The sequence below is a fragment of the Homo sapiens genome, chromosome 10 (assembly GCF_000001405.40).
Source record: "Homo sapiens chromosome 10, GRCh38.p14 Primary Assembly".
Lineage (NCBI taxonomy): Eukaryota > Metazoa > Chordata > Mammalia > Primates > Hominidae > Homo > Homo sapiens.
The window spans coordinates 95,493,907-95,506,218 of record NC_000010.11 but is presented as its reverse complement, the minus strand read 5'-3'; the positions used below and the strand labels follow the sequence as shown (position 1 = coordinate 95,506,218).

General features: G+C 44.8%; 1 protein-coding gene across 76 annotated transcripts in view; it reads left to right on the top strand.

The window, feature by feature from the left end:
• Positions 1–12,312, top strand: part of SORBS1 (sorbin and SH3 domain containing 1) — a 249,599-nt gene that overhangs the window by 55,153 nt on the left and 182,134 nt on the right. Inside the window, exon 2 of one of the 76 annotated variants that reach the window (NM_001384456.1) lies at positions 4,185–4,435. The exons of the other annotated variants lie outside the window; for them this stretch is intronic. The gene's annotated coding sequence lies outside the window, so the exon portion shown is untranslated. The remainder of the gene's footprint in view (positions 1–4,184; positions 4,436–12,312) is intronic. 76 annotated transcript variants of the gene reach the window in all.

Genomic DNA, 12,312 nt, shown 5'->3' with positions numbered 1-12,312 from the left:
TCATTTTGCCAACAAGTTTTAAGCTTTTCTGGACTTTCTGCTTTTACTGAATCTTCAGAGATGCTTGCTATCTTAGGAAATTTAGTGTGATATTAAGTCTTTAAATAAAGATAAAAATAATTTGCTTTAAACCAAGAAAAAGAGACAGAGAGAGAGAGAGATTGGCAGCAATAAATCAACATGTTAACATTGGTGGACAGATTCTTGTGTTTTCTTTGAGACTTCCTTTGTTTTCTCAGCTTTCTATGATTAACATGTATTACTTTTATATTAGAGAAAATGATTTGTAAAAAAGCATGGTTGCTTTGGAATTCATTCTCAGTCTGCCGATGGGATAACAAGGTAGAGAATACAGGAGGGATGACAGATTGGAGCTTAGGGACGTCAGGAGCCAGGGCTGCCATGGGAACTGTTGTTCCCAGCCTTTTTGTCATCAGAGACGCCCTCTTTTGTTTTTATACTTATTTATTTTTCTTCTAAATACCCCTTGCTCTGAAAAATTTCATCAAACCCAACACCATGTTTATTAAGTAATAATATATTTCCCCACTCTTGATCAATTGAAGATAGACTTAACTGCCTATTAGAGTTACCCGAGTCTTAATGGAGTTGATACTGTTCCAGCTGAGAGTAAAGATGTGTGGTATTTGAATTGACTCTTATGTTAGACATTCATCTATGTCCTCCACATTCATTTCTACCTGAGTGGAATTTTCTGGCTGTGGACCCAAGGCTGAGGCTCTGCAGTTAGAGCTCTTCTGTGTTTTGGACCCAGGATCCCTGTATTCCTTCTGACACTGGAGGCAAGAAATAGGCATTTCTGTGGCTGGGAAATGTCTCCTCCAACCCTTTTTGGTCCTAATCTAAATGAGAAAGGAGAGAGCCAAATCCCCCAACTCCAGCATCCACGTATGGGAATAAGCCCACTCCCACGGAGTCCCGCAGAACGTGGGAGGAGGAGCTTCTGGCACCGTTTCCCAGCCCTGCATTCCAGTTTTCTGGTCACCTTTTCTGAACCTCCTGCTGAGGAACTGTGAAAACAAAGAATGGTAACCATACAAGGAAGCAATCCAACTCAAACATAATAAAAATTAATTTAAAATATTAGTGGATCTCTTGTTGAACACCAAAGGGAGGGAATTAAATTATTAATGCCTAGGAAAATAACTTTAAAATCCTTTCTCCTTCTCTACCACTTGGTATCCTGTACACGACGGCAGCTGCTCCTCTAGAAACTCCCTTTTACTTTTCATCTCCTCACTCTCCCCAGCCCTCCAGGAGTAGTGGGGCATAGAAAGCCTCCCATCCCTTTCATCTGGACAGGTAAGGAAGCTAGAGGGGACACTTCTCTTCTTAGAGGATGACCTCAGTTCCATTCCAAGGATAGGGTGTAGAACAAGAGTTCTTAGTTTTTATTGGAACATGGACCCCTTTGAGACTCTGATGAAAGCTTTGGACACTTTTTCCAGAAAAATTATATGATAATAACTAACATTTATGTTGTAGACATTGTGCTAAGCACGTAGGTGTATTACTCTTGATGCTCATCACAACCCTGTGAGGTGTAGGCACTGTTATCTCTGTTCTGCAGATGGGAACACTGAGCCACTGAGATGTTAAAAGATTTGTCCGGGGATACACGTATAAAAAGTGGTGGAGTCTTTGCATATAGTTTTAGTTGGCACTCAGGTTAAGATCTTCAGCTCTAGATTATGAGCCACCAACTGCAATCACTTGAAGACAGATGTCTGCACATGTAACAGGGTAGCGGGTGGATACTAACCCCCAGGGCTGGTGACCAACCTGCTTGTCAGGGTGGTAAAGGAAGGGAAAGGCTGCTCTTGGCTCCCCTTTTGCAGAGTCCTCCCCCGTCCTCTTGCACCAATTAGGTGAGTCTGTGTGTGGGTTTCTAAGTGTCTATGCTTTGCAGTGATCCCACACAGTTATCTAATTGGCATTTAATGTGAGCTGGGAAGACAGACAATCTGGGCTTCTCTCTTGGTTTTGCTACCACCAAACTGTGACTTGGGGAGTCATTCAGACCCTGTGCGCTCATCTGCAGACCAGGGAGAATGAACTCTGGACTTCACTAGGATTGGGAGGGTCTTGCTACAGTGAGAGGAAGTCACTGCCCTTAATTTGTCTTTCTGTGGCCCATAAGTGAATGGCCTGCTATAGTGTGCACGTCTTTCTGTTATTAAGATTAGGGGTCCCAGAAACTGGCCTGTGACTGCTGACCACACTTGACACCTGCAGTTTTTGGAGTTGCAGTGAATGTTTTCTTAGAGCTCCAATCCGTGATCAGTAATAATTAAGATTTTGTAATAGCTGTACTCCCTCTTCTGTCTGCCCTTCTTCCCACCCATTTGGCCATGACCCCCATGGCAGGTATCCTTAAAATCACAGAGCTGTGAAACGGCAGTGCTGGAAAGGAACTTGATCACCTATGGCCAGCCATGCCATTGTGCAGAAATGGAAATAGGCTCAGAGAGGTTCAGAAACTTGCCCAAGGCCACACAGCTAATCCATGGGAGTAGAGGCTGGGTCATATTCATCATAGTTTCTCTGTTTTAGTCCTCACTGCCTCCCAAACTTCCTCAGTGCATGGAGAGTGACAGAACGAACTATTTGTACAAGCAGAGCTATTTTAGAAGTTCTTCATGGTGCTAGGCCCACAGTTCCTCATATTCAGGTAATTGTTAACTTCTCCCAGCACCAAGATGAATCTCTGCTATAGACAGAGACCTGGGAAATACCCCTCTCTATTTACTGCGTTATCCCAGGTAATGTAGAGATGGATATAGCCAGGCAGTGTGTTGAGAAACTTTTGGAGGTAGGGTGGTGTGGTTTATTAATGGCTGTGCTGGGGTTCTGTCTGCAGCAGAGGTTTAACTTGGATATAAAGAGCATCTTTTCTGAAGCTGGGCCCAGCTGATCTGAGTGGTGACATTTAGCACTACTAGGCATTAGCTTCCAGCATCCACCACCTCTTGCCACATGCCACTGTGAGTGTTCATGGACTTTCTCCTCTTCTCTCTGCAAAAGAGAATTCTATTGTCTATTACTCAACTTTCCTAGTAACACTACCTTCTAAGGAGAAGTTTCTCTTGGTTAGTTTAGTGCCTGGGCCTTTTTCATATGGAGTCAGGGCAATGAGTAGAGGCTGAATTAGAGAACTAGGAAGTAGGGATGGTCAGAGTGTTTGTGTGTGTGTGTGTGTTTGTGTGTGTATGTGTATGTGTGTAAGCACCTACTGGCATCTGAAAGGGCCAATACTTGTAGGTGAGAAGAGAGAATGGAGGCCAAAGGAGAGGAGGAGGGAGAGGCAAGAAGTGTTTATCAGCACAGGAGATGAAAAGTAAAAGGAAGTTTCCAGAGGAGCTGTCTGTGTTTAGGATATCAAGTGGTAGAGAAGGAGAAAGGATTTTGAAGATACTTTCCTGTGCATTGGGATTTTGAAGATACTTTCCTGTGCATTAATAATTTAATTCCCTCCTTTTGGTGCTCCACAAGAGATCCCCTAACATTTTAAGTTAATTTTTATTATGTTTGAGTTGGATTGCTTGCTTGTATGGCCACCAAGTGGACACTGGGCTACATGGAGACCCAGTAATGTTCAGGCGACACTGGTCTGTTCTATCTGGGGCATAGAACAGAGGATGGTGAGGCAGTAGAATGTGAGAAGCACACTCTGGAAGGTGAGTGATGGGGGAAATGCTCTGTGGCAGGGGGCCTGGGGCTGATCTGCTGGAGTCAGCATGTGCTTGGTGTTACTTCATTCTGCACAAATCCCAGATCATTTTCCTGTGTTAAAAATAAAGAAATATGTCAGAGTTCTCAGATTCAGTGCTTATTTACTTCATACCCTATCTTCAAAAATAATTTGAGGCAGTTTGAATTTAGTGGGGAAATGTGGCAATTCATTCAGACTGTATTTTTTCCATAAATAGAAAGGAAATTTGCGTTGAGAAGGAAGAAGAGGTTGAGTTTCTAGGCCACATTTTACTGACAGAAATATTATTGGGGAAGGATATTTTAATTTTTGTTCTCCAAGAAATTGCTCTTTTGTACTGCTTTGAGGTGGAGGTGGTTTAGCACAGAGAGGATTTTTAAACCAAGGGAAGGAGCAGTGACTGTTTGGCTTAGATAAAGAGAGTGCTTTCTTCTGTCTGTGCCTCCTGGAGTCGAATCGATCTGTGTGAGCTGCCTGTCCAACATTCACGTTCAGTGAGATGACTTCTTTGAGTGGCTAAAGGCCCCAGAACAAACAGCCTGCTGGGACTTGCAGGTCTGTGCATGGAGCTTCTTCCTGTCGGCTCCTAGAAGGGCAGAGCAATGCTTCTGCGGAAGAGTAACATCCAGAAGACTGACACTCAGAATGTTCAGGCAAGAGTACCAGTCAAAGGCAGAAAAAAAGACCCGCCTGGTACTGCTGGTAAGTAAATAAGCATCGCAGTCTTATTTACTTATTATTTGTTTATTTTTTTAGAGACAGGGTCATGCAATACTGCCCAGGCTGGAGTGCAGTGGCTGTTCACAGGTGCGATCATAGCACATTGCAGCCTTGAACTCTTGGCCTCAAGCCATTCTCCTGCCTCAGCCTCCCGAGGAGCTGGGACTACAGACCCACACCACCATGCCTGGCTTCAGCAAGGTCTTTTTAGCCCAGTGGCCAAGCTGTTGGTTACCTTGAAATTGTCCATATTTTTTGACTACCTTAAGGGGCCTTGTGTGAGGGCAGAAAATATCAGCTGCCTTCTGATGTTTGAAGCAGTGCCCAGGGCAGATGGTGATTCCCTGCCTAGGTTTGAAAGATCTCAGGAAAGCAGCCATTTGCTGGGAAAAGGCCTGTGACCAGTTCCTGGTGTCTCAACAGGTGGGTCACACCTGCCTTGTTGAGGCTGGTCTTTCTGACTGGCTGGGGAGGTCCCCAGGGAGTCTTGCCGATATTGGTCACAATTTCTCAGCTGTGTCAGTGTTTCTCAAAGTGACTTCTAGACCCCAGGCATCAGGATGTTCTGAGATGCTTGTGGGAAATGTGTATACCTGGACCCATACCAGGTGGACAGAGTCTGAATCTCTGGGAGATTTGGGCTTCCCAGGTGATTCCTTTTACCCTGTAGATGGAGAACCACTGTCCTACTTGCTGCCACTGTGCAGAACTGGACGTTGTGGTTAGTAAATTTGAAGCCAGATGATCTAGACTCAAATTTTGTGTCCTTAAGGAAGGCGGGGAAGGAAGAAGGGCCGGCAGTGTGCAGGTGTTGAGTACCAGCTGGGAGAAGATGCGTGGTTAGTGCTTCCAGCTCTCTTCTTTTATGTGCGCTCAGCAGCAGCCCAGGGTGTGGATGTTATGCCTGTGTACAGGGGAGGAAACTGAACATCAGAGATTGAGAACTCGTTTAACATCATAGAGTTGGCAGGTGGAAACCAGCATGGCCAGCCTTCTTGCGTTTTTAGTTATGACTGTAATCCCCACTCTAGAATGATGAGTGTCTCCTTGAGTCTGGCTGTGCAGTAGAAATATGATATGAGCTACAAAGGTAATTTAAGACTTTCTAGTAGCCACGTTAAAAAAGTAGAAACAGACAAAATTAATTTTAACAACACTTTTTTTCTAACCCAGTATATCCAAAATATTATCATTTCCATATGTAATTGCATAAAAAAACTCTCAGATATTTTACATTCTTTTTTAAAATTCTGAGTCTTCAAAATCCAATGTGTACATGACTCTTACAGCACATCTCAAGTCACACTAACCATATTTCAAGGGCTCAGTTGCCACCTGTGGCTAGTGGCTGGAGACGTATGTCCTACCCTGCTGTCCAGGTAGCCAGGGGTCAGAGTTTTCTAGATCACTGATTTCCAGGCACCCCAGGATGGATTCATGCTGGGCAGACTGCATGGGTGTCACCTGAGGAGAGGATATTAAAATTCCTCCATCAGGCTGGAGCCCCAGGTGATCTTTTTGTGTAACCTGGTTGGAAATGGCTATGCTAAAAACATTCACTGGCAATTTACTTGGGTTGTCTGTGACTATGCCCGCCCCCTTTTCAGGGACAGTTGCATTCCAAGCACGTTCTCCGGGAGTGGGTGGGGTGGTGGGGTGGTAAGAAAGGTGGGGGAACGCACACCCTAAGGGTCTTTTCCCTGCCTTACTAAATAGAACTATAGTTTCAGTGGAGAAAAGAAATCCCGCTTATTTTTCTGGTTGTGATCTTGCATAAGGGGTGGAACCTTTCCTTTTGATGGCTGAGAGCGGGATCCTGTGTTCTCAGGAAAGGTGAGATGAAAGAACCAACATACTTAGGGGAGAATGAGATGTTGTGTACTTAAGCTGTGTTCTTTTCCAGTGGTTTGATTTTAAAGTTTATTTGCTGACATAGTAAGAAATTTGGTCCAAAAGAGAGTCTGGGAGTCTAAACCTCAAATGCTTCAGAGGTCAGGCAGGTAGCACGAGATGAAGGGTAAGAGATTGAAGACCAAACTGTTAGGAATGTTCTCCGCACTCACAAAAATGTTGTGGTCTTCCTTTTTTCTGGAAACATAAGACTCTTGACCTTTCATTTTCCTGTTTTTGATAGATAAATATTTATCTTTTGTAAGAGAAAAACCAGTGCATGCAACTGGGATCAATGGCAGCCAACACTCAGCTTTGGCGTTAGGGAGATGAATCGGAGAGCCTTGGCCATTTACAGGGCAGCAGCTACTACCCGGCTCCATCCAGTTGTTATCCTTGAGGCCCTGTGTTGCCAGATCCTGTTATTTTTAAAGAGAAGCCACATTTTGAAATTATAAAATGTTTGGCTTTATAAATGTTATTGTAATTTAAAAATCATTACAAGGCCGGGCATGGTGGCTCGTGCCTGTAATCCCAGCACTTTGGGGGCTGAAGCTGGCAGATCGCTTGAGGTCAGAAGTTCGAGACCAGCCTAGCCAACATGGTGAAAATGTATCTCTACTAAAAATACAAAAATTGGCTGGGCGTGGTGGTGGACGCCTGTAATCCCAGCTAGGGGAGGCCGAGGCAGGAGAATCACTTGAACCCAGGAGGTGGAGGTTGCAGTGAGCCAAGATTATGGCACTGTGCTCTAGCCTGGGCGACAGAGCCAGACTCCGTCTAAAAAAAAAAAAAAAAAAAAAAAAAAAAAACATTATAGACTCACAGGAAGTGGCAACAAATGGTACAGAGGGATCCTGTGTGCCCTTCACCCCACTTCCCCAGTGTTAATATTTTATGTAGGTATAGTATGACATCAAAACCAGGAAATTGACAATGCTACAGTCTTATTCAGATATCATTTGTGTTATATGTACTCATTTGTGTGTGTGCACATGTGTATGTAGTCCTGTGCAGATTTGTATAATGACCACCATAATCAAGAAAACCTTTGAGGCTGGGCGCTATGGCTCATGCCTGTAATCTCAGCACTTTGGGAGGCTGAGGCAGGAGGATCGCTTGAGCCTAGGAGCTTGAAACCAGCCTGGGCAACATAATGAGACCTCATCGCTATAAAAAAAAATAATTAAAAAGAAAATCTTTGGCTTTTGAATTGTTTGTGCAAATATAACATTGAAAACTTTGTTTAGGTCTAAAGAACATGCCATAGGCCTGGTGTGGCCCGTTGACCTCCAATTTTCAACCTCTGTTCTAGTCTAGCCCTTTCTTTCTTTCTTTTATTCAGATAAATTTCACATGACACAAAATTCATTGTTTTAACCATTTAAGTAGACAGTTTTTTTAAGTATATTCACAAAGGTTTGCAACCATCACTACTAATTCCAGAACATTTTTGTCACCCCAAAAAGAAGCTCCATTTAGCATTTTCACCCCATTCCCCTCTACCCCCTTTTCCTGACAACAAACAATCTACTTTCTGTCTCTATGGATTTATCTATTCTGGACATTTCATGTAAATGGAATCATACAGTATGTGACCATTCGTGTCTGATTGGGCCTTTTATCTTACAGAGGAAGAAACTTAGGGCCAGAGAAGGAAGGTAACATGCCCATAATTATGCTGCTGGCAACTGCCCTAGTCTGGACTTGAACCCAGAACCAGTACTCTTTGTACCATACCTTTCTGCCTGTTAGCATTCAGGTCTTCAGTTTTATGATGATGGTGATAAAACTACCACCCCAGCTATTTCTTATCAGTTGGCTTAAGTAAGCATGCGTAATAACAGAATGTTTCTCTTACTTGTACTGAGTATTAACATTATGCAAAGAGTCACTTTGGAAATGGGAATTGTCACCGAGAAAACAAGGTAGTTTAGTTCAGTGTATGTTTATTGAGTGCCTACTATGTGCCAGGCTCTGGGCCAACAGGGATGAATTGAATGGGTCCCAGCCATCAAGGGGCAGTCATTTGGGGGAAACAAAGAGATTAAAGATAATTTCCAGATGTTGAGGGCAAATATGACTGTGGGGCAGAGGGAAAGGGTATCAGTTCTAGCCTGGGGGTGGGGTGGTGGTGATGGTGAGGGATGATTTAAGGGGTGGAAGGAAGCTAACAGGTAACGAGGCAGCAGAAAGATGTTTTAAGCAGTAGAGACCTGAGCAAAGGTTTAGGCATGATGGATCCAGAGAGTTGAACCGTGAGCTCATTGGTGGTGATGGAGGGCGAAGTGGGGTATTGGAGATATGGTTCGAGGGGTGGGCTTGGGTCAGATTCTTGAGGGTCTTGACGTCATAAAAAGTCAGACACGGCTATGGATGTCTGAATTTTTCAAGCTGAGGATGGCTGAATGGAGGCAGAGTAAGAGAAGCCAAACATGGGAACTGGGTTTCCTGGGAAATACCCAGGTCTGAACAATTGGGGTGGAGTCAGGGGTATATGGTGGTGGAACCAGTATCTAAGTAGCAACAGACTTGAGAAGAATCAAGGCAAGAGAAACCAAGAGACCCATTCTAGAGGCCATGATGAAGTCCTGCCCACGCTTCATGCCATGATGAAGATGCCATGGGGCATCTTTAAAGGGCTCTCAGCCCTGTTCCCACTGGCCTGCCTCCTCCTCCTTGTTTACCCGCCCACCCACTCAGCAACGTTTTACTGAGTACTTGCTATGTGTTGTGTTGCTGGGGGTACCGCAGTAAACAAGTTGGGCAAGATTCTTACCCCCTAAAGGGAAATACAGATAAATAAGATAATTACAGATTGTGAGAGGGTCTACAAGGAAAGCAGCTTTTGCTGGTGAGAGTAAGGTTAGGGAGTCTGGGCTGGCCCCAGTGAAAAAGCATATTTGATCTGAGCTCTCAAAAGTGAGTGCTCTCTTTCCGTGGTGAGAAAAAGGGAAAGAGCTTTGCAGGCAGAGAGAACAGCAAATGCAAAGACTGGGGAAGGACCCTCTGGCATGGGTTACCCTGGGCTTTGTCGAGATTTTTTCAGGGGGTCTCAAATCAGATAGAGCAGGTTTCTGGAGATCTGGCCCTACACTGTCTTAGGGAGGGGAGGAGAGAGAACCATTAGCTTTGGGAGGAAGAATACATATCCTAGTGGAGGAAAAATTGTGAAGTCATTGTGAATCATTGAAAGTAGGCATGCTTTCTTTTTTTCCTTTTTTTTGAAGGGAGAGCTAAACTCATTTTGTTATTTTCAACTAATTTTGTTATACTTTATGAGCTTTGTGTCATTCAGAGAACTTGGAAACATTCATTCTCCCTCCTACTGAATCAGTGGAGTAGGTGGAAGAGCTTTAAAAAGCTCTTGAGGATTCATCTTCCTTTGCCAATGGATGCAGGAGGAGGACAGCTGGGCAATGGGAACACAGCCAAGAGGTGTTTGGGAAGTGGGAGCGACCTCATCATTGAGCACCCAGGAAGCTTCAGTGGGGTTCAGGTCCTAGAGATGTTGGCACCAGTTATGGCCCCAGTGGGTTTTGTTATGGAAAAGAGAGAAGTCTTTTTCAAAGTCAGAAAAGGGATTCATTTTGCATATTAGAACTTCATCTTAAATAAAATAATGCAGTGTGATTTAAAAAAACACTGCCCATGGTGGGGCACGGTGGCTCACGCTTGTAATCCCAGCACTTTGGGAGGCCGAGGCAGGCGGATCACGAGGTCAAGAGTTCGAGACCAGCCTGGCCAACATGGTGAAACCCCGTCTCTACTAAAAATACAAAAATTAGCCGGGCATGGTGGTGCATGCTTGTAGTCCCAGCTACTTAGGAGGCTGAGGCAGGAGGATCGCTTGAACCTGGAAGGCGGAGGTTGCTCTGAGCCAAGATCATGCCATTGCACTCCAGCCTGGGCGACAGAGTGAGACTCTGTTTCAAAAAAAACAAAAACAAAAAAACACTGCCCAAACATGAAATAGATAACTTCTGATTTGTTTCCTTCCCAAACTGGTCAGCCTCAGGGCCAGTTGGGCATTTTCTCCCCTGGACTGCCTGTGTTTGTTGATGGAAGAGTTGGAATTTGTGGAGGGAGAAGGAGAAGAGAGTATGTCGTGAGCTCGGAAAGCAGCTTGGGCCTTGGATCTGGAACAAGGAGAGAGGGACCAAGTCTGAGCTGAGTGGCATGAAATTTGAGGTGTATTTTGAAGGAAACCAGAGGGCTCCAAGGTACTATATTGGGATACAGTGAGCCATCAAACAAAGACCCCTTAAAATTTTAAAACAACAGCAGTAACAAAGCAAAGCAGAAATGATTATATGGATCCCTGTCCATATATAGGTTAGTGGGACAACAATGTGAAAATATAAGTGATTCATGCTAGGAAGGAGAGATACATGGGGCTTTGAGAACTTGTAACAGGAGAGCCCAGAGTGGTCCAGAGTGGGTCGGGTGGCCTGGATTGATGTTTGGTAGGAATGAGGGTGGCAGAGGTGACTTTCACAATGGTTGGTATTGATCTGTATTCTTGGGATGGGGGATGAATTAGGGAGTGATGGTTTGAGGTCTTTGGCAGGGCCTGGGACAACTCTTGTGAAGTCTTTTGGGGGGTTGGGACAGAGAAATGTCTTGTTTTAGGCCAGAATATAACAGTACTGTAGGGAAAATTAGTGAATCTTTTAAAAATTGAGGACCACCACCGGGTGCGGTGGCTCATGCCTGTAATCCCAGCACTTGGGGAGGCCGAGGCGGGTGGATTACGAGATCAGGAGATTGAGACCATCCTGGCTAACATGGTGAAACCCCGTCTCTACCAAAAATATAAAAAATTGGCTGGGCATGGCGACAGGCGCCTGTAGTCCCAGCTACTCAGGAGGCTGAGGCAGGAGAATGGCGTGAACCTGGGAGGTGGAGCTTGCAGTGAGCCGAGATCATGCCACTGCACTCCAGCCTGGGTGACAGAGCAAGACTCCTTCTCAAAATAAATAAATAAACAAATAAATAAATAAATAAATAAATAAATAAAAATAAAAATTGAGGACCACCAAGAGGGGGCAAATTATGATCTTGAGCTTTTCCTAAACTTCCTCCTCCACCATGCTCTTCCAAGTTTGCATTATGGCTCACATGGAGGATCCTTAGGTTGATGGGGACACCTGCCTGTTTCCTTGTTCCTTGGAAGGATAGTATGGATTGCTGCTGGGCCTTGCAATCAGAAAGGCTGACCTTAGTCAGCTGTGGGTTTCTCTGGTGCTGGCTGCCTGAAGGTCACCTAGTGGCACCTTGTAATATTGGGGGAAGAGATTTCTGCAGGCTGGTGCATTCAGGGAGCCGGTTTACTCCGATCCGTCTGTCATCTTTGCGGTACACGGCATTTACTTTGCCAGTCTTAGCTTGAGATTGCTCAGGTCGTTACATGACCACAAAGTGGAGATCTGGAAAGAGAGGTGCTCAGCCAGGCTTGGCAGGTTTGCAGGCGCTGCATTGACCGGTAGAGTCCTGCGCTTTGGTGGGCAGGAAGGACCTGATCAGAGTGCTCTGTGCCTTGGAGCTATTCCTCGAAGGCCACCTGAATGACTGGATGCTCCCACATCCTTTCTTCTGCCAGAGCAGTGAACCCACACAGGTGTATGAAGGCTCAGATCTGCTGCTGAGATTGGACACCCCCAATCGTTTACCAAGAGGCACTGACATTGGGCCATGGTATACAAGGGATGGGGGCAAAGAGGAAGGCCACTTCACTTACCCATTTGCTATTCTGGCTGCTGGCATTCCTTTTTTTTTTTTTTTTTTTTTTTTTTACATTTATTTAAAAGAAGTTGTGGTTGTCATAGTGTGATGCAGAGAGTGGGTAAACATACCAGGGATGTGCTACTCCCCTAAAGATCTGGATCCTTGGCTCTTTCCTGGAGGATGCTGAATTCATGTCCTTGAAGAGGTTTTGGAGCTTCTGAGACCTCTGGGTGAAATACACT